At 38.9% G+C, this 22,326-nt stretch overlaps 1 protein-coding gene and 1 long non-coding RNA gene across 26 annotated transcripts in view, besides 1 other annotated feature; one reads left to right on the forward strand and one right to left on the reverse strand.

The window, feature by feature from the left end:
- DOCK10 (dedicator of cytokinesis 10) overlaps nucleotides 1–22,326 on the reverse strand; it is a 277,379-nt gene that overhangs the window by 155,767 nt on the left and 99,286 nt on the right. For all 23 annotated transcript variants that reach the window (XM_047444930.1, XM_047444929.1, XM_047444922.1 and 20 more), the window contains exon 2: nucleotides 10,693–10,812. In XM_047444930.1, coding sequence (XP_047300886.1) covers nucleotides 10,693–10,812 — 120 coding nt within the window. The remainder of the gene's footprint in view (nucleotides 1–10,692; nucleotides 10,813–22,326) is intronic.
- Nucleotides 13,587–14,563: an enhancer, noted in NCBI's record as "OCT4-NANOG hESC enhancer chr2:225799160-225800136 (GRCh37/hg19 assembly coordinates)". NCBI's record gives its function as "activates a minimal SCP1, AML or CMV promoter by ChIP-STARR-seq in naive H9 embryonic stem cells {active_cell/tissue: H9 hESC(naive)}" and the evidence as "EXISTENCE:reporter gene assay evidence [ECO:0000049][PMID:30033119]".
- LOC124906121 (uncharacterized) lies at nucleotides 15,627–20,428 on the forward strand. Of its 3 annotated transcripts, none has more exons than XR_007088106.1 (3): nucleotides 15,627–15,662; nucleotides 17,034–17,160; nucleotides 20,359–20,428. It is a non-coding gene; the product is annotated as an uncharacterized LOC124906121 (long non-coding RNA). The 3 variants fall into 3 exon arrangements; XR_007088105.1 differs by lacking the exon at nucleotides 15,627–15,662 and adding an exon at nucleotides 16,408–16,480; XR_007088107.1 differs by lacking the exons at nucleotides 15,627–15,662; nucleotides 20,359–20,428 and adding exons at nucleotides 16,408–16,480; nucleotides 18,123–18,209.

Below are 22,326 nucleotides of genomic sequence, written 5' to 3' on the forward strand. Positions count from 1 at the left end.
GATCCAAATTGGCTCCATCATATTTTGCATGTGACACAACCACTCCCTGTTCCATCTATGTAGTAAACTTACTGTCCCACTACGATCACTGCTCTGTGACATAATAAAATAAAGTGGGCTGGGCACGGTGGCTCATGCCTGTAATCCCAGCCCTTTGGGAGGCTGAGGTGGGCAGACCAATTGAGGTCAAGAGTTTGAGACCAGCCTGGCCAACATGGGAAAACACCGTCTCTATTAAAAAAAAAAAAAAAAAAAAATATATATATATATATATATATAATGTATATACACAAAAAATAGCCGGGCATGGTGGCGGGCACCTGTAATCCCAGCTACTCAGGAGGCTGAGGCAGGAGAATCACTCGAACCTGGGAGGGGGAGGTTGCAATGAACCAAGATCATGCCATTGCACTCCAGCAATGTTGCTGGGCAACAACAGCAAAACTCCATTTCAATAAATAATAATACTAACGTGAACACTTAGCTAATTTAAGAAGTTTTTTGTTTGTTTGCTTGTTTTATTGGTAAGTTTCTGGAATGTAGGCTTGGGTTCCCCATAACAGTAATCACATGGCTACTAGATTAGTAATGTCCTATAGTTAGATAGGCCCCCAAATACATAAGGTAATGTTCACATCCAATTTATGAGACTGCGAATTAATTCAGGCCGAGTTACAAAAATTGCTTAATCACGTGTACAATGCCTGGTGGTCTCTTGTTATAAAATGATGTTGACTTTTTACTAAATAAGACAACAGGCTGAATTATGCTCTTGGAACCATGTGATAAATCTAAAACATTATTTTACAATATGTGCAGTTATTGCATATCTAATATCCTGTGCAGGTTACACAAGGTATAGGAAAGAGAATACATGTATGATGTATGCCCATAACGTGCTATTGATCTTAGTTGTATTTTATTATAATGCTGGAGCATTTGTCTGAAAAAGTGCAAGGACAGCCAGGCGCTGTGGCTCATGCCTATAATCCCAGCGCTTTGGGAGGCTGAGGCGGGTGGATCACCTGAGGTTGGGAGTGTGAGACCAGCCTGACCAACACGAAGAAACCCCGTCTCTACTAAAAATAAAAATAAAATAAAATAAAATAAAAATTAGCTGGGCATGGTGGCACATGCCTGCAATCCCAGCTACTCGAGAGGCTGAGGCAGGAGAATCGCTTGAACCCGGGTGGCGGAGGTTGCGGTGAGTCGAGATGGCGCCACTGTACTCCAGCCCGGGCAGCAAGAGCAAAACTCCATCTCAAAAAAAAAAAAAAAAAAAAAAAAGTGCAAGGACTCCACAAGTTTCCACTTTAAAAACTGTGGCACTTCTTCTCATTTTAGATCTCTTTAATGTGTCTCCACTGAAGCAAAAATGAATTGATCGAATACAAAGAAAACTGTAAACAATCATATTTGGTAAGGGTTTTAATATGGTTACAAAGAATTTTTTCTTTTCTGAGAATCAGATGCTTTCAGACCACTACAAATTGTCTTGACCACAAGAGATTTCCTGTTCTCTTTTATAAAACTCTGGTCAACAATTAGTATAGCTCAATAGCATAAAAGGGATCTGAAACTGCAGTGGAACTCAGCTGAGCTTCTCCTTTGGTGGTAGGATTTCATAAGGAGCCTATCTATTGTCCAGAGATCAGGCATTTGGAAATAAAAACTGTCCTGAAATGATGCATGCAGGCCTGTGTTTATAGTTTCAGGTCCATGAGATTCAGACATCCTCCCTTGCAGCCCTGTCACTTTCTGGTTTCTTGTAGCCTGCAGTGGATGGTCTTGGAGGTTTCGTTACAGCCACCAATCTGCTGGCTATACTGGCTACAGAAGACTTCCTTCCAAGCACATCAGGACTATCTCTCAATTGGCCAAAGGTCACTGTAAAAGTCTAAAAAAGGGCTGCTTATCCTATCTTGGGGCTGAGAAAAGCTTCCTCTGACAGTATTGTAGCTTCCCCCTGTTCAAAAAGGAGGACAAAATGATGGTGTTTAAAGTAATCAATCAGTCTAAGCTTGGGGAGTTATAAGCCTCACAATAAGAACTATTAACTAAAACTTTGTGATTAATGACCCTCAGCATGTGTTTAAAAGTGATTTTAACCTAAATTTCTCAGACATCGATATTGTCTTTTATTCTATTAGAGAATGTCCTTAGATTACATTAGTTTCTTGAAAAACATCTTTTACCACATTCAGAAGAGTATTGTTGTGATTTTATTTTACTTATTGTTTAAATATATGAGAATATTACTTTAGTACCTGACTTGTGCTTTAAAGGGAAGGCCCTTCTTGTTTTGCTGGGGTTGAACTGTATGGCAAATATACAAATAATGAACAGTTGTCTATTACTTGATAGCAGTCATTCCAGCCAAGTTAAGCATGAAGACACAGTGTTGTAGTATTTAGGTATATAGTAGTGATAGAATCCTATAAGAAGAACTTCAAGGTGTTTTACTCTTGGATTGACAAACTACTGAGCCAGTCATTTCACTTCTTTTTTGTGACTTATTTTCCAGGCTCCAAAACATGTCTCATCTCCTCTAAAGAGGTGAGGACCAAACATTCTACATATGGGAAGATGTGAGCATTAATAGAAACGAGGTGCTCCAACAATATAAAGACACCTACTGCACCAGGACCTCCCCCTGGCAAAGACTCTGAGGTCTGTGGTCTGAGTTTACCATCCAAGAAAGCCCAGTGAAGAGGGTTGCCTGCTGCGAGGCCTGCAGACATGGTCTAGGGAAGAGAAATGGACTGAAGAGCGGCCCAGCACTGCCAGCTCTCACCGGCTCCATCCCACCTGGCTGCCCGCATTTCTCCTTCAGGGCCAGCCTCATTCCTGCACAGGGCCTTTGCCCATGCTCCTCTGCCTCTCCAAAAGTCTTTTTCTTTCCTCATTCTTTAGAAATCTCAGGTTTTGTATAGGTGCCAGCTCCTTTTCAAAAGCTTTCTAATTCATCCAACACACATTTTTCTTCCCTGAATGCTGTTATTTACTCTCTGTAGCACACATGAAGTCTGCAGCTTACCCATAGAATATTTTAGGCCGAAAGGTTATGCTGCTGATGAATTCAGCCGGTCATTTTACCTGTGTGTTTTATTGTTTATAAGCAAGCCACATTACATCTGCTTTGGGGGTAAAATATAACAACTGTAAAATAAGTTTTGCCATGTTCCTTATTACTCCTTTGCTATGTTCCATTCATTCCTTTTAAAGAATAAAGTGCTCGTATCTACATATATGCTTTCATGATTCCTTTGTATCCTTCCTGTGATCACGTGCACCACCTCTATCCTAACACATAGAATGGCTTTTTAAAAAAACCATCTAATTGAGATATAACTGATCTGTCATAAAATTTATCCTTTAAAAGTATAGAATTGAGTGGTTTTTGGTATATTCACAGAGTTGTGCAACCATTACCACGATTTAATTACAGAACATTTTCATCATGCCCAAAAGAAACCCCATATCCACTAGCATTCTCTTCTCATTTTCCCATCTCCCCAGCCCATGGCAACCACTAATCTCCTTTCTCTCTCTATGGATTTGCCTATTTTGAACATTTCCTATACGTGGACTATATGGTCTTTTGGGACTGGCTTCTTTCACTTAATACAATATATTCAAGGTTGATCTAAATTGCAGCATGTATCAACATTTCATTCCTTTTTATGGCTGAATAATAATGACATTCCATTTTATGGATATACCACATTCTGTTTACCCATTCATCAGTTGATAGATTATTTGGGTTATTCTCATTTTGGGGCTATTATGAATAATGCTTCTATGAACATTTGTGTCCAAGTCTGGTGTGGACATACATTCTTAGCACAATCAAACACAGACCAGGGTCTCCACACACATTCTTACTGAAATGAAATAAACAACCAGAACTGTTTCACTACAGTACTTATTTTCTAATGGCATCACTCACTGTGGGATTCAGGAAGTTAATATTTCCCCCAACTTGTGTGCCTTTTTTTTCTAAGAAGCGTCGGCCAAAAGCATGCTGTTTAGACAGAAACTAATAGTAAAAGTCAAGGTGCTTATGTTAGGTGTTTGTCCTTCCAGTTGCTCTATTTCCTTGAACAACAGCCTTTCCAAATCTTAACTTCATTAGCTTGTAAATGAGAGGAATATTATAACATAGAAAGAATCTAATTCGACAAAGACTATTACTCAGTTTTCAAATTGAAATTACAATGTTCTTACATGAACACCAGGAGCCGTTTAAAAGCCTGCTTTTCAGGCTCAAAAGCCACAGATTTAAAAGAGGTTGAGATTCTTATAAAATGTTAACCTTTGTCTCAGAAAAAAAAAAAGAAAGAAAACTCATGACCTTACTGATTTGCAGTTTAAAACATATTCAAATCTTTCTGCTTCCTTTCCTAGAATGACCCTTGTGGTTGAGTCTAGAAGTCCCCATATACCATTTGCTTTTCATTGCTAAAGACATACTATGAAAAGAACAAGCCATTGGTATATTATGATATCCACTATTCTGAGTTTTAATAGCCAGTGAAAAGTGCAGAATGCCTTTGAGTACCCTGGGACACAATTCTGACCTACTAATATGAAGATGGAATTTGAGAAGATAATGAGACTCTTAGGTGACTGTAGTCATGTGACATAGACTTTTGACTTTGAAAATTGCACTGCCCGGTGTTGAAAGTCTAACTGTTCAAGTGTAAGGTCTGCTTCTTATTCGTATTGGTGTCCTGGATATAAACAGCTTAGATCACCAAAGGTGGTCCATGAAGGTAAATTGAAATAGAGTTTTACTGGTGTGGACAAAATTGAAGTATAGTTGATAGGTGGTCTTCCTACACAGTGTACAGTCTTACCAGCTTTCAGACATCAGAACTTTCTTATTTATGGTTTTGTACTTCCCAGAAATGATCCCATCTCAGGCTTTCTACATCTTTTGCTCAGGAAGAAACTCATTTCTGACTTTCTCAACTTTTTTTCTGCTATTTTGCATCAGTCTTTTCTTAAACTGAATCATTTGACAATATGATTCAATGTGTCCTTGAAACCATTTTTCTTAGCCCTTGCTTTCTTTTCTTACTTTCTTTGCCACTTTACTGAGTCACACACTTTGGTGACTAAGTTCTTTATTTTTTGTTTTGTTTTAAAGTTTCTATTACTACCAGCTTGAAAAAGAAAGATGAAAAAAAGTAGCAAATACAATTATTGAAGCAGTACAAGTTTTTGCAATGAATGGCTTAATAAATACATCAATACTGCTTATTTTAGTGAATCATTAGGACACATGTAGTGCAGGAGTTCATACTGCTTAGTCCCAGAACCCACATACAAGGAGGACTAGCTTCTACCTGGTGTGCCAAAATAAAGGAAAGTGCTTCTGTGTCAGGCCCTCAACCTGGAAGAAAACTATTTTAATTCAATGTTTGATAATCTATTGAATGCCTATGAATCAGACATTGTGTTGGGTACTTGAAGTACAGATATGAACTGATTTGTCCCTTGTCTAGTAACAGAAAGGAAGTGAATGAGTAAGTGAAGAAGTACACTAAAGTGTTAGAGGGCTGGGTGCAGTGGCTCACGCCTGTAATCCCAGCACTTTGAGAGGCCAAGTTTGAGGCTGCAGTGACTTCCCACTACACTCCAGCCTGGATAACAGAGCGAGACTCCATCTCTTTAAAAAAAAGTGTTAAAAGGAGGAAACTAAGCTTTGCTGATATCAGCTATGAGCCAGGCACTATGTTAGAAGGAATGGGCCTCTTTAAAAAGGGAAACGTGTTCTTAGTGCTGTTTTTTAAGGTGATATGTTGAGTTGAGTTGTGCCAAAGCAGGAAGTATTTTCCTTACCATCAAGCAAAGCCAATTACTTCATCCTCTTTGTTCTCAAGAATTTTGTTTCAGAAAAGCCTTTTGGTTCCTCAAGGTACTCAAGGGATCAACATTATGTTATAAAATAGCAATCTAGATGTTTCTGAAAGATAATTCATGAAATAAATATTTATTTTCCATCTGCTTTGTGCCAAGTTCTGCTTTAGCTGCTGAAAATCTTTCAACAATCAAGACAGAAGAAGTCTCTGTCCTGCTAGAGGCTACTGTCTAACAGTGAGAAACAAGTGACAGAGGAGTGAAAAAGCAAACCAAGATATTTCCCAGTGGTGATAAGTGTTATCAAGAGAAGCAGGTGGGGTCATGTTATAAAGTAACTGGGTGTGAGGGCAATGTAGCTTGGAAGTCAGGGATGCTTCTTTGTAGAGGTGACATTTAAACTGAGTTGTGACTGAAAAATAGGAACCAGCTATACAGAGAGTGTAAAGGCCCTACCGAGAGGATGAGCTTGGCAAGTTGGGGGAACAGAAAGAATGCTTGATGTCTGTGCAGTGACTGAGGAAAGTAGGCTAGATGAGAGCTCAGAGAACATGGGGAACCAGATGACAGGGGTTATGGGAGGAGCTGGATTTGACTCTTAAGGCAATGGGAAGCCACTGAGAAGTTTTAACCAGAGGCATGGCGTTATCTAATTTGTGTTCCTAACAGCTTCCATTGAGTACTGTGTGTGAACGAATCAAAGCGGAGCAAAGAAGAAAGCAGGAGGACCAGTTACAAAACCACTTCTTGGAGGGGAGGTATGGTCCAGGCAAATGAGGGTATTTGTGGCTTGGGACAGCAGAGTGAATAGAGAAAAACTTTTAATATATACAGTCACAATATAAGAATACTGCCTTGGTGAAAAGTAATCTTTCTCGTGTACCAGATACCAGACGAAGTCTCTGATTCTCGGTATTTCTTAACCATAAGCATTCTAAATCAACTTGCTTTTTCATCCATAAAAGGGCATGAGCTCCTTAAACACAGGGCTTTTGCTTTTCTTGTCAGTCTCACTAGTCTAGGAAGTGCTGTTCTATATTCAGCAGCTCGTGGGTGCTGAATAAATATTGATTAAACAAACCGAGTAATGAATCATGTGTGCTGCAAGTGTGGGTGCTTGGTAACGTGGAAACATACAAGTGAGCTGGATTCTCCAATCTGCAGGGCAGAAACTGGATGAAAGACATTTAGAGGTGGGGGTGGGAAGCTTGGAGCGGCCCCTCTCCTTCCATCCCTCAATGCCTTGGGATTGGGGTGGTCATTCTATGACCACTTCACATTGACTCCGTGGAGATTGACTCCACACACCCCAGAGGAGCCTCACCCACTGCTGAAGGGAGAGCTGATGAAATGACATGCTTGCTGACTGCATGGACACTTCCTGTTGGTGCGCCACGTCCCTAAAATGTGACATAGGCTGTGGGTGAAGCAGGTAACATCAGAGATTTACAGACACGCCTATATTCCACAAAGAGTGTGAGGATAAAAACCAAAAATGCATGCAGTTGTACTCTATGTCAGCCAACTTTTTCTGTAAAGCGTCAAAGAATAAATCTTTTCCGGCTGAATGTCTCTGTTGCTTCTACTGCAACTCTGTTGCAACCCTGCCTTTACATCATGAAAGCAGCCACTGACAAGAGGTCAAGGAATGGTGTCCGTGTTCAATAAAACTTTCTTTATGGGTATCAGAATTTGAATTTCAGATAATTTTAATGTGTTTTGAAATATCATCTTTTTTTCCCTAAGCTATTTTAACAACCATAAAAACCATTCTTAGCTCATGGGACATAAAAAATAGGCAGCAGGTCACCCATGGGCGACAGTTTGCCAAGCTGTACTCTGTAGAGCAGTTAAAATGAGGAACAATCTCCACTATTATTCAAAAATAGGCAATTTTATGTAGAGATAATATCTAACACTATCCTTTTGTTTGTCAGTTGCTTAATGCAAATTAAAATTTAGCCATTTGGAGGATGTGACATTTGCTGATAGTAAGGATTAGGTAGCATTGAAAATCTCTTGGGCAGAGATTAATTGGAAATGATTCTTTGGATCACACTCCCCACTTTGTCTAGGCCTTGTTTTGTGTTTTCCACACAGAGCCCAGATGAACTTTTAATATTTAGGAATCCACACTCAGTCATTTGTTTTCCTTCTTGAAACACTCCTGTGACTTGCCCTTGCCTATAGTTAGAATAAGATGCAAACGCCTTATCCTGTCCAGCCATACCAATCTCCAATCTTGGAGCTCTTCAGGGCCTTTGCACCAGCTACCCCTTTAGCCTGAAACATGCTTTCCCCAGCATGGCTGATCCTTCTTGAGAACTCAGAACTCAGCTTAAATGTCGCCTTCTTAGAGAGGCTTGTCCCTGGTCACCTAGACCAACACAGCTCTTACCCTACTCAGATTCTATCATCAGATTCTGCCTAGTTTTATTTTCCTCATAGAATTGGTCTTTATCTGAATTATCTGGTAAATTAATTGGTTTACCTTTTTGTTTGGAATAAGTAAATCTTTAATAAGTAAACCCACCAAAAGGTAAGCTCCCTTAGAACCCCAGGTGATTTCTGTCTAATCACTCCTGTCTCCATTCATCAAATAATGCCCAGTATTCAGTATTATACATCATGTATTTGCTGAATGAATAAAGGAAGGAAATGGTTTGGGGTGTGTTATAGAATAGTATGTTTGGAACTGTGCTGATCTTTTACCCCAGTTGGGAATGAGGGTGACGGTGTATGATGGGCCGGGATGGGGTGGGAGAGGGTAGGCTATGGCTTTGAGAAATGGGCAAGGACCACATCTCGAAGCAGGCATTGGGTCATGCCGAGGTGATTGCACTTCATTTTGAAGGCAGTGGGGGAGCCACAGAAGGGTTTTAAGCAGCCATGGAATAAAATAGTTCAGTGTATTTATTGGAATGTTCACACTGGAAAAACAAAGAGTTATTCTTGTATTGTCTGTTACGCTGCCAAGAATGATAAAGATCAAGGAGTAATCAGAGACACTCCTCAATTTAAATGAGCATGGGAAGATGCCAAAACTTTACAGCCCATCTACCTGCATCCTCCACTCTCTTTTTGAGCTGGGAGGCCTTGAAGTAGCATTTGACATATTTTTGAAGGACATAACTAGGAGAAAAGATGCTCCTGGATTCATGATTTTTGGTGGTGTTTGACATAAAGAGGCTGTTCAAGGCTGGACGTGGTGGCTCACCCCTGTAATCCCAGCACTCTGTGAGGCCGAGATGGGTGGATCACTTGAGGTCATGAGTTCAAGACCAGCATGGCCAACATGGCAAAACCCCATCTCTACTAAAATTACAAAAATTAGCCGGGTGTGGTGGCATGCACCTGTAATCCCAGCTACTTGGGAGGCTGAGGCAGGAGAATCACCTGAACCCAGGAGGTGGAGGAGGTTGCAGTGAGCCAAGAATATGGCACTGCACTTCAGCCTGGGTGACAGAGTGACACTCGGTAAAAAAAAAAAAAAAAAAAGAAAGAAAGAAGAAAGAAAGAAAGAAAAAGACTGTTCATCAGGTTAATCTTCAGTCTGAAAAATGAAAATGAGGATGTGGAATTTAAAAAAATGCGGTTTAACTTTATGCTTGCAGTTCAACTTCCAGTGGCCTAGTCCAACCACGGAAATGAGATCTCTGCACGAGATAAGTCTCTCTCAAAATGTGCCAGCACTCAAGTGGAAGCCGTTTAAAATTTTGAAAAACATTGGAAGAGTTTCTTTCTTTCTGTTTACAAATCTGTCTCCTTTTTTCCATGATTCTTCACACTTGAAACAGAAAATCATTAACTTCCATATACCTTCTTTTTCATGAATCCATGGAGGAAGGTGAAAAAAAAAAAAACTCTTTAAAAGCCAGAAGCCAGACCTGCCCTCAAAGTAAGAGAGAAAATGGAAGTTTGAGGCTGCTTGAGGAATGTGTGGGCACTGAGACCCATGCTCCCTGATAGAGGTTTGCATGGACAATGGCTGTTTCACAGGGATACCCTTCAGCTGCCTTTTTATTTGCCTTAAGATGTTGAAGTTTGTGATGTCTGAGACCACCTTTCTTTTAGGAAGAGACAGGAAAGTTTAATAGCTGCCCATTGAGATCTCTGTTTGACAGTTAGATATTAGATCACAATTTAAAAACATTTAAGACCACAAGGTAACAGTATTTTATGTTTGGAACATGTGGGTGCTCACCATCCACAACTTTGTGTTTGTCTCCAAAGCGAATTTCCTTTTCATTCATTATCTCTACTATCCTCAGAGGCTGTCTGTGTGGTAGTGTGCATTGTCCTAAAGGGGACTATCTGAGACCGCCAATCTCTCCATGAAGATGTTCTAGCCTACCTTTCTTTGCCCCCAGGTGTCAGTATCTCCTTATGAAAGACAAACCAAGATTAAGGGTGATTTTTAAGAACTGCATCTTTTGTGCTAATGGAGTCCTGTCTTTGCCATTGGTTGGTTTCAGTTGCTTGGAAGCTTTCAGTTAGAAATGGCTGAGGGAGGAAGTGCTCTGTGAGTCCAGGTAAGGCAGTGGTTAGAAACCCAGACATTGGCAGGCACACGAGTGCCAGCTGGAACCGGGCAGTGTCCTGGGCCTCCTCCCAGTCCCCAGTGGCCACTGACTCACTCAGCCTCCAATCTTTCAACTTGAGGGGGCCCTGGGGTACTTTCTATTATAGGATGTGAACTCCTGCTGCAGAGACTGAGATGTAGGGTGGCCACAGGGAGGCCTGGACTCTCTGAATCTACAGGGAAAGACAATGACCCAATGTGTAGGGCCCTCCTGAATCTAAATGGCTTGAGAAGAGAAGACTTACTGAAAAGTCATCACTGGGGAAGAACAAGAGATCTTGAAGAGGATCATTCCGGTAGGTCTTTTCAAGTTCTTCAATGACAGTCTCATAATCCAAAGGCTCGAGAAGCCTAGGCTTTTCTTGCTGTAGAAAAAGAAAATATGGTATTAATCACTGACATACACCATCTCCCTTTTCTATGCCTGGTTGGATTTCATCTCTTAGTTATCATTGAGGCTTTAACACTGCACAATCCTTCCAATGCAGTCACAGAGACTCCAGGAATTTAGGGCAAAGCCACACACCTATTATTTCCAGATTTGAAATAATATGAGAAAATCCTAAAATACCTGATATCTCCCTCAGAAATTCAAGCTGTTCTTATTGAGTCCCCAAGGCTCATGATACCCAGCCCTATCACATCCACAGAATAGATGTTTATGTAAATTTTATCTTTGTCAACATGAAGAAAGACCTTCTGCTTACTTGCTACGGTATTATGATGATTATCATCATTTCTTCTGAATTAGATACTTCCTCATGAGTTCTGTTGGGTCTATTTAAAAATGTTGGCACCTTGTTAGCAATGAAAGTATCACAGGCACTCTTGGTTGTCACGAACACATGGATCCTGTGTCAGGATTAATTGCTTGGCTCTGAGCCTCTTTGTCTCTACAGAGACAAGCTAGGTCATTTTCTAATAGAACTGAACGACAGGACTATTATGGATGCAGTGTGATGAAAATGGATAAGTGAAAAAATAGCCCGATAATCACATTGCATTAGATTCCTGAAGCCAAGAGGGAATGTGCTCCCCTCAAAGAAGCCCCTCATAGTGCCAAAAATAAAAATAAAATAGAGGGAGAAATGTGACAGTTTCATTATAGGGTTGATGTGTTTGTTCCAATTGTACAGAACTCATAAGGTGAGAAAAGTGGACCCTCCCTCGCCGCAAAACACAACAAAATCCAAAACAGAAAACCAAAAACACAATCTGCATCCTCTAACCCTTTTGATGAAGCATTTATGCAACCTAAGTGAAAAGCGGTGGTCCTCTGGGTTATTTTGGGGCTCCTAGAAGCTTGAGTGGTTCCTACAAAATTTGAACGCTAAAGTGATCCCATAAGTGAAAAAAATTATTATTTTTCTTTTTCACGTAAGTGACATCAACAGATACTTCCCCACCAAACTCTTCCTTCCCCACACTCACACATGCCACCCTTCCTCATTCTGCAAAGTACACAGAGTTAGCTTTGACTCCTAAGGCTTTCTTTGGAAGATCTCTTCTGATAAGGCCCTAGGAACTTTCATTGACATTTTAATAAATGCTAATGGGCTTTTCAAAGTAGCAGTCAATATATATTTTGATAATTTTCCAAATATAAAAAATAAAACAAATGTGAACATAGTGGGCCAAAGGCAAGGGTCATCATATACTTTCTACATTAGAAAAAAAAACCCAGCTCACTTCACAAATGCTTAAGGAAACTAAGGGTAATGCCAGGTGAATATTCTGTCTAGAAGGTCCTTCCAGAAAGATGGCTAGTTTAGTAAAAAAGAAATACCCCACACAATGTTTGGAGAAAAGAAATTCAGTTGACGAACATATTTAATGAAAGAGCTGTGAGACATTGAGTATTTTGAGGAAGAAAATTCAGAGATGCTATGGCATGACTTGGGGAGTGGAAAAAAAGACTTTCTGGAATCATTGCCTTTTGATATTATTCTATTTAGACTTATTTTAAGTTCTAATTCCTTATTTCCCAGGCAAAGGTTAATTCCAAAGATTTAGATTGACAGCTCAAAAGGCAAATGCACGTTCCAGATGTTTGGTTTGCCACCCACATTTATTTTCTTTTTAATTGGCTTTGAATGTCTTTAAGTCATGGTATTTCTCTCCAATTCAGCTGTAGGCCTCAGTAGTCTTTATCTTACCCTGCAGCATATTACTTTTATATTACCAACTGCCCCCACAGGCCTTCAAGTCTGAAACAGTTGGCTTATTCTGAAACCTGTTTTTCCTCCCTATTGAGTGTGTAGGTATCAAATGTAGCAAACGAAACAAAATGTACAGTAAAACCCTTTCAGGAAGCTCTTACGTCTGCCTTAGATTTGGTTCATTGTTTATGTCTCTAAGAGTTCTTCAGCTTAAGTATATGATGCCCTTTGGTATTTACAGCAATAGTCCATGATGTGGCTAATAACACTTTTATCTTCTCCCTCCTCACACCAAAATGAGTAGAGATATGAGAGTGTGGTTTTAGTGTATATTGTAATTTATAGGTTTAAAGGCAAATGACATATGGATGTTTTGAGAGGACTTCTATAATCGGGTTCTCACTATCTTTTAAATTTTATCACCCATTAGTCCCCAAATCCAGCATTATTTAAGGAGTTGGAGACAAGAAGATCTTTCAAAGAAGATCTTTTTCTGGTACCCCAATGTTACCTAAAATCAATCCCACCTAAATTAGTACAATAGGCAAATCAGAGCTCCCAAGTCACAAGTTATTAATAAAACCACAGAGAAACTAAATCCTAACTTGCCTTGATATACCCAAATAATGGTCCCTGGTAGTTCGCCGTGATCGTATAGTGGTTAGTACTCTGTGCTGTGGCTGCAGCAACCTTGGTTCGATATACCCAAATAAAACATATGGCCTGCAAGCATCTAAAGGCATAATTTTAGGTATTCATTTCAGGCTATGACATCAATTAATGAATGATATTTATTAGGCCTTTCCTGTTTAGAATATTGCACTGGGGTTATTTTGACATGGAACTGCAAAATCCAGCAGATCTACTTCATGTAATTTACTAAGTTTTGGCCTCTGGAGGAATAGATTGGTGAAATTCAATCTTTCCAGTGAATTTGTTGATCATTGTGTAACATTCAAGATATCCAATGCATCATAATTTTGTGGACATAAAGTTTAAAAAGAAATAGCAATGATATATTCCATAGTGTCTAGAGCCTGGGATTAGGCCAAAGTTGTCACAGATGCTTTACACATCTGTGATGGCGAGAATCCGGACTACATAACCAGTAGTTCTGTCCGCAGCAAGGGAGCTGCCTGCTCCCTTCAAATGTAAAGAGACAGATGTATACAAGGATGGTGGGATCAGTTAATTTCTCACTACTGCTCCTTGCAGAGACATTGAGTGAAACTGGGGACTGAGCAGCATTGATTTACAGCTTTAACAAGGGTTGGGTTGTCCCTCTTGAATTTAATGTGCTTGTTTCTTTTGGAAATGCACCAACGGGGATAAGGTATGTGCCAAGATTACTCTGAATTGGCTTGGATTTTTATAGTGCTTTTTATTCTTTCTCTCTTTCTCTCAAATGAGTAATGAATTTCATTAGCTGTTCTAAAGTCACTCTGCATGGGAAAAGGCACCCACCAGTACCTGTTATTATGCATTAGGGTTGGTGTTGCACCACAGTGGTGAGAGGCCCTATTCTTCTTACAGAGAATTAAGAGATTTCTTTGATCTAGTTCCCCAAATCCACAGCTCTCCTCCAAATCAACTTCACAGCAGAAGAATGGGCTCCTGTCACAAAAACAAATGCTTGCTTCCCATCTACCTGATTTCACTACTGAATGCCAAGACGATTATCTAAGCCCCAGGGTGGTAAAACTGTCATCTTTGTAATAGTCTGGGCTACCCAGGGCATCTCAATTGGTTTGAAACAAGCAAGAACAAAGTATTCCATTACAAATATCTGAATTATTTTCATCACTATAATTCAAGATCAAATGGATGAAGAAATGACATTGAAGAAAATAAGCATTTGAAGTATGTAACACTAAAAATTACATGGCTGAATTACCAACCTTCATATTCCTCCAGAATGGAAGTACAATCTAACTGAAACATAAGCTAGACTACCCAGCCTTATTTTGGAAAAATCCAAAGTATAAAGTAGAGTGTGAGTATAGGTTTTCTATGTTACGATGCAACAGAGAGTTTAACATATACTCTAGTGCCAGAATTCCTGGGATTCCAGTTTTGGCATTGCCACATATGAGCTGTGGAACTTCAGCCGTGGTAATTAAAATCCCCATGCATTAATTTCTCCATCTGTAAAATGGTTTAGTTAGTGCTGCCTCACAGGATTAAATGAGATAATACTTTTTAAACCCCTGGAAGAGCCCACACGTAAAATCCTCATTATCCAAGTGTTAATAGATAAAGCCTATGGGTTTTTAATGTTCACTAGTCAGGGATTTAAAGCATCAGTATTATAAATTTAATGTCTACAAAGAGCAAATAGTAGGCACTCAATAACTATTTGTTAAATAAATAAATTTATATTATTTCATCCAGATCCAAGAATTCCTTTTCCGGGATTCTATCTTAAAGAAACAAGCACACATATAATCCAAGATTTATACGAGGATGTCTTTGCAATATTATCTTTGTAACAAGATGGAGAAAATATAGTCACCCTAATCCAAAGGTATAAGGGAGAAAGGTAGGCTAGTGGAGATTATACCCAATGAGTGAAGACTCCAGAGCTGCTGTTCCAAACAGTGTATCTCTTTCAGAGAACTGTGTATGGTGGAGATAGGCTTAATGCTGTGATGTGCTTTGGGAAGGACATTGAAACTAGGATAAGGGTTGGCATAAATCCGTGAATGACTATTAGTACATGCCATAAATAATGGTGCAGTGCATGCCATAAATTTACTAAACACTTCAATTCTTCAGCAAAGTTAGTGAACTCACAATATTTTGCATATAATTGGCTTTTCTTTTTGGAAAACACGAAGTGGCTGGAGTTCATGATCAAGATGGCAAGCACTGGTACAAAAGGAAAGATAAAGAAAGGGCACTCGCTACCTCAGAAGGAAAGAGGTTAAGGTCACCTTGACAGTGGTTCTAGATTCATAGCTATTATGACATTAGAGTTTGAGCCCAGAATACCCATATGTCTAAGGGATAGTAAGGGCACCAACTAGCTAAAAATGAGAAACAGTAAATCATCATGGGTAAGAAATAATTAGGAAATTATGGTACATTCATCCTAAGAAACAACACATATCCATTAAAACTAAATTTTTTAAAGTTTGTAATAAAAAGCAAAATTGTTTATGTATTTATTGTTCAATAAAGTAGTAATAAATATAATACAACAGAATAATCACACAAGATTTAATAAATTTAAAGAGAAAACATTAGAGATATGGGTCCTAATATTATCAGTTATGATATTTAGGATTTTGCCATTTTGATTTTTCTGCATTCTCCAAATTTCTACAATGAACATGTATTGCTTTCCTCGTGGTGAGAAAATGAACTTGGTTTCTCAAAACTATCATATGTTCATGGAAACACTGGGGAGTTATTTGATTTTAAAATTGTTTACCCTCTGAAAATCCACCAGAGAGGCAGCCTAGAAAAATCACAGTGAGACTTCACATAGAAGTTCAACCATTAACAGTTTCAAGTAATTAAGAAAAGATACACAAAACCCTGGGGAAAGGAGACCAGGGAAAATAATTACAGATTATATATGTGGTTCTAGAAGCTAATGTCAGCAAAAAGGAGATGGGCAATTAGCAATTTAATAACTAAAATATTTTTCACCTCTGTAGGGAACCATCAACATCTGGTAACTTACTTAAATACTCATGTGTATTGGTCATTGTCACAAAGGATTAGAAATCAGAATCTCTAGTTGGAAGTTCAGGATTTCTTACCTACCAGCTACGTAACTTTGACAAGTCATTTGCAACAGCTGATATTGGGATAAATGGGAAAAGGGCAGTGTTGCTGCAAAGATCAAGTAGATAAAGTATGAAAAGTGGTAAGTGAACCACTGAATATCAGACAAATGTAGATTTGTTTTTATTTGAAGATGATTGAAAATTACCCTACATGTTTTACCCAAGAAACATGTGCCAATCAGCTAATCAAACCAACTACAATGAATTCTTCATGTACCAGGAACTGTCCTATATGCTTTCATATTTATGATTTAAATTTTATTAAAATAACACTCTGAAAATTAATGATTCTACTGGAGGCAAAAATGGTAGTCATAATGAAGAGTACTCAAATAAAAAAAGGACAGCTTCTCCTTCCAGAATCTCCTGAGTGAAGTCAGTCTACTCTATCCCCCATAGGAAAAAGGAAAGCGATCTACCTAATTAGCATATCAGCAAATGAAAGTGACTTTGAAATTCTACCTTTGTTTTCCTTGAGAAATGGCCTAGAAAATATTTTCATGTATTTATACTTGCAGATCAAAAGAGAAGGATTAAATTTAGGATTGGTTTAATATTAAACTCATTAGCTTTGCAAATAGAAAAATCTAAAGAACAATCAATGTTGCAGATACTTTGAATATCTTTCTGCAGCTCTGACCTACACAGATACAAAGTGAGCTTGTCGGCACTGGGGAGCTAATCAGGAAAAGGACTGATGGAAAGAGGAAGAGAGAACATCTCTGTGGCAAATCCCTCGTGACTGAGGACCGCATATCTGGTATCTACATTTTGAATGTAATTAGGGAGCCATGTCTTGGTTATTCACCATTGGGGTTGCTCTAGTTTTGTCTACCTGAAGTAGTTATTCTTGGTTCTCTTTTTCAGAAAACCTAGTCTTTTCAAGAAACATTATGAAAAGAGCGTTCCCCACTTCCTTTGAGAAGTTGTATGTTCTTTCTGTGACATGCGGTAGATCCTGTGATGCCATTTGGAACTCCCTCTTCCTCAGCCAGCACTGTTGTTCCCATATATCTGAACCTTTATTCTATTTTCAATATTCATAACAGAATTAATCCTGTATCTGAGTGGCTTCTTTAGTTTTCAAAACTATTCATCCTAGTTAATGACACAGAAAAACTAACAAAAAATAGGTATTTAGTTTGGTACCAATAGAGTAGGCTCTATTAGAACACCACATGCTAATTCTTTTTCAATTCTCTTCACATCTTGACACACGGACAAGCAAATCACTCACAGTGACGATTCATGGGGTCTTTTGAGAGACCCTCCAAAAATTCCAATCTTGAAATCCCCAAAACAAATGAGAAGCAACACAGCTGTTAACCAATTTCAGTGTTATATCAAGATAACTGATTAGATTTCTTAGAAGAAATAGAAGATCTAAATGACACATGGATTCTTTAGACCTTGACTTAATCCAGGACCCTTTGACCTTAATGTAATTGGAATGAAGCCAACTTCCACGCCACTTGTGTTTAAAACAAATGAGAAGATCGGAGAAAGTCCATACAGCTGGATGCACGGCCGCAGCTGTCAGCCTGGGTCATGTAACAGATTTAATTTAGCCTTTCATCAGAGGGAGTTCCCCTGGAGAACCTCTCAAATGTTTGAGCTTCTGAAAACAAGGCTACTTTTTCCTACCAAAAAGGAAGTGATTAAGTAAAGAATAAGCCATCTTACACTAACCCTTTAACCTTCTGTCTGTCTTGAACCACACAGTTTCATGAGAATGGAAAAACACCAGCCAAATCAAAGTTAACAACTGTGCAGCTGGGCAAACTCAGATTAAGCTGAATTTGGAAATGGCTCCCTTGGTAACAAAGACGGACACAGATCTCACAAGAAATCAATCAGCAGTAACTCTTTGAATGTCTTAGTCCATTTCAGTGACATAAAGCAGGTGAAAGTCGGTAAAGCATAAAATGTTTTGCAGATATAAGGGATGACTGTATTGTTACATTCAACACACACATTATCGTTAGAAAAATCAGAATTTTCTATTTTGTTAACCCTTAATTTCTTTAGGGAAAGCAAGGACACAAAGGAGCTTTATAGGATTTGTGATGTAAGGTGCACTTTCAAACTAAATTTGGATCTTTGAAGTCTTATTTTCTTTTTAAAGAAATCTGACCATGTATATCTCTTATGAGCATGTTAAAATTCACACATTTTTGTATAGCAAATAAAAATAAAATTTAAAAGTGGCTGCTTCTCTGTATTTGTAAAGAAGTAGAAAATATCCAAGAAGATCTAAATCAAACTAAATTACATGTCTCATTTAGTTTTCTAGAAACACTTGAATGATAATAAATATCATTAAAAATACATCACAACCCAATTACAAGGCTGCCTGACACAAGGGAAATTAATGCCTTAGAGTAAACTGGAGAATTTTAGATTAATTTATATGAAGCCTGTGATGAGAGCTGTCACCAGCTTAACCTCAGATACTATCTTATTATTTTTAATAATCACAAAAACATTCACTCACAGGTCAAGTGTTGTACACGCACATACATGTCACACATACAAATGTAAATAGTTTTGTCAACAATAGGCATTTTATAATTTCAATATGTCTTCCCATAATGACAGACCATTCTTTTATTTCCTTTCCTACCTGTGGCTACTTGAAGTTGAATATGCATAGTGGATATTTGTTGTCTTTTGGCCTATGTGGCACTCATCCTACTTTCTTTTAGTACTAGCATTTTAATTTCCTTTTGGGGACTTACTTCTTTCCACATTCCCATAAGAAGCAGCCTTGGTGGATTTGACTAATGAAAGCGTCCTGATTTTCTGGCATCATGGGTGTGTGACCCCAGCAAGACCCATTCAACGCTTTCCTGCCGAACTCTGAATCTTGAGTGGAAGGATGCAAATGTTGATGAAAGGATTGGAATTGTTTCATTTCTGGGGCTACACTCCCACAAGACTTTCCATTAGTTTGAATCATCAAAACCACCCATTTCCCACTGTTCTGAGCTTCTCTAAGTCCATTCCTCGTTCTTTTCTGAGCCCATCTCTCCACTCTTCCTTCTGTCCCCTTCTCTGGACTGTGTTTGTTCATTGGAGTAGGTTTCCAATGCTTGCAACTATAGGAATCTAATGAGATATAATACAAGGAATAGTGCCTAGAATAAGGGACTACTATTTCCTCAATTTTTATGTTTATTTGGATTTGAATGGTCTTAAAGGAGGACCTCTTTTAGCTAATGACTTCTGTCTTTGAGGTGTGGGAATTTAGGTTTGGTAAACTCCTGAATTACCAGTGCAACCCAAGATTGTCTCATTCTGTGAAAAGTACACCAGGTATCAAGCATCCTGAAAATGGGGGCTTAAGAACCTTCCTGGTTCTCCAGGGAAATACATTCAGTGCAGCCCTGATCTCTAATTTTCCATTAAGCCTTACCCATTCAACCCATCACTCTCCTATGACAGCAGAATATCTGGAAGCCAAAAAATGAGTTTAAGACCCCGTTTACCTTCAGTGACGATAGTCACATACTATAATTTTGCTCTCTGTAGGAGGTGCCTGGTTGTGTGGGAAGTTCCGGCAAACCCCTGCAATATACAACAGATCAGACACACCTAAGCTAGCAATGATTTAGGTATGTCTCATCTGTTGTATATTATAGGGGTTTCACCTTTCTTCCTCCCCCCATTTTCATCTTACAAGTCACATTTACTGTATTTATTTATTATAGTAAAACTAATTCATATGTGTTTTCTTGTAGAAATAACAGTCACACCAAATAATTGATAATAATGGTAACAATATGCACTACCATTTTAAAATAAATTACCCTGTAAATGCCAATAATGGTTATTATTTTTCTACTACCACTATCATACATAATGGCAAAGACCATAATCAGTATTTAATATCTTCTCTCACTGAATACCAACATCAACCCTGGAAAAGAACATTACTGCTCTTTTTTTTTTTTTTTAGATGAGTAAGCTTGGATTTTGAAGACTTCAACAACTTGGCTGCAAGTTGATGGGAGAATTGACATTCTAACCCAGCTCAGTTTGAAGCCTATAGTCCACTCCACTCCACTCTACCAGCAAAGAACATAGCCTTGCAAAACAGAGAACAGAAAACAGAAATGCTTTTTCTTCACTCCCTGTTGGGAGGATTCTGGAATAGAGCTGTGATTTGGCATACTATTTCTGCTCCACTTTTGAGTTTCTGCAGCAAACGGCAAGAGAAGGCTGGGGCTGGTATAATAAGGTCACCAGGCACCTCAGGGGAACAAAGTGGTAGCGAAAGAGGACCAGGCCGGGCCTGGTGGCTCAGGCCGGGTGTGGTAGCTCACGTCTGTAATCCCAGAACGTTGGAAGGCCAAGGTGGGTGGATCACCTGAGGTCAGGAGTGCGAGACCAGCCTGGCCAACATGGTGAAACCCCGTCTCTACTAAAAATACAAAAATTAGCCAGGCGTGGTGGCATGCGCCTGCAATCCCAGCTACTCGAGAGACCGAGGCAGGAGAATCTCTTGAACCCGGGAGGCAGAGGTTGCAGTGAGCTGAGATCTCATCACTGTAATCCAGCCTGGGCAACAGACTGAGCCTCCATCTCAAAAAAAAAAAAAAAAAGTTTATAGGAGGGAAAGAAAATGAAAAGGTAGATTTAAGGAACCATATAATGAATGTTATTAGTGTGTATGTCAACATCCACAATGACAATTGCCACCAATTGAGGGAATCTTTACAATCAAAAAGTTTTGTACCACGGCCACCTTCCAGGAAATAAAGGGTTGCTGGGATCATGACCCTCCTTCCTGTCCCTGTTGCTACTCTTCTTCTCTAGCAAATGGTCCAGCCCATGCTCAGAAGCTTGGCTCACTTCTGGTTTAACTCTTCTCCCTCCCTTCGCAGTCAGCTGCTAGGGAAAGGAAGACCATTCTTAGTTAAATTACAGGTACCCCTCCCATTTCCATTTTGGAAGCAGCTTCTCTGCAGCTCCCTGACACATGAGCTAACTGTTCAGTGTTGCAGCTCACACCCAGGTCCTCTGATCTGTGTTCACCTGGATTCTTAGGCAGACCAAGTTTCAAATCTCACATCTCCATTTCTTGGATTGAATTCACATCCCCCGGTTACTCCTGCTTCTTTGCATTCTTCAACCTGTCCATTTCCAACATTCATTCCTGCTTTCCTTTGTGTTTCAACCCTGATTCAGCCTTGTTTCATTGTTCCTAGAACCAAAATCCTGGCTCCTGGAACCCCATCCATTGCTTCTTTCAGCTAACTGGCTCGTTTCACAACAGCCTAAATAAGCAACGCCCTATGAATGGTTGTACAAAACAAAGAGATAGCACCTAACGAAGCACAGATCACCAGTAAGGGAGGCTTCTCACATTAGCATGGAAGATTCAAGAAGAAAAAACTGACTTGAACAATAATAGTACAACACAATATAAAATAATGTATATTAGAGATATGTTAAAGCTATTCAGATTATATCCTCTACTTATAGTTTTCATTTTTATTTTCCTATTAAAGTGCTAATAGGTACTTTAAAGATAAGAGGATGAATTTTCATGGGTATCCAGTTTTCCAAATATTTTGAAATCCTGCAGATTAATGACCCATAAACCAGTAACAACTTAAAAACAACAAATCACATTTATTTAAATATGTTCATATATTTTTATGACTGTGCAGATGATTGATATAGTAATTCAACTTAAGTCTGTTTTTAATCTTTCTAAATTAGGACACATAATTTAGGAAGGAAATGATCTCTTTATTGACTTCCTTTGCACTAGAGATCATACTGAAGAATTTTAGTTAAAAAAAGAATAAAATAAAAATAGAAAGGCAGTTAAAAAGAAAACCATCAACTGCAGACCACCACACACATTTCAAAAATTAAGGGAAGAAGTTCTACTTGATGATCTAACATGACAATTTCA

The sequence above is a fragment of the Homo sapiens genome, chromosome 2, assembly GCF_000001405.40.
Source record: "Homo sapiens chromosome 2, GRCh38.p14 Primary Assembly".
NCBI lineage: Eukaryota > Metazoa > Chordata > Mammalia > Primates > Hominidae > Homo > Homo sapiens.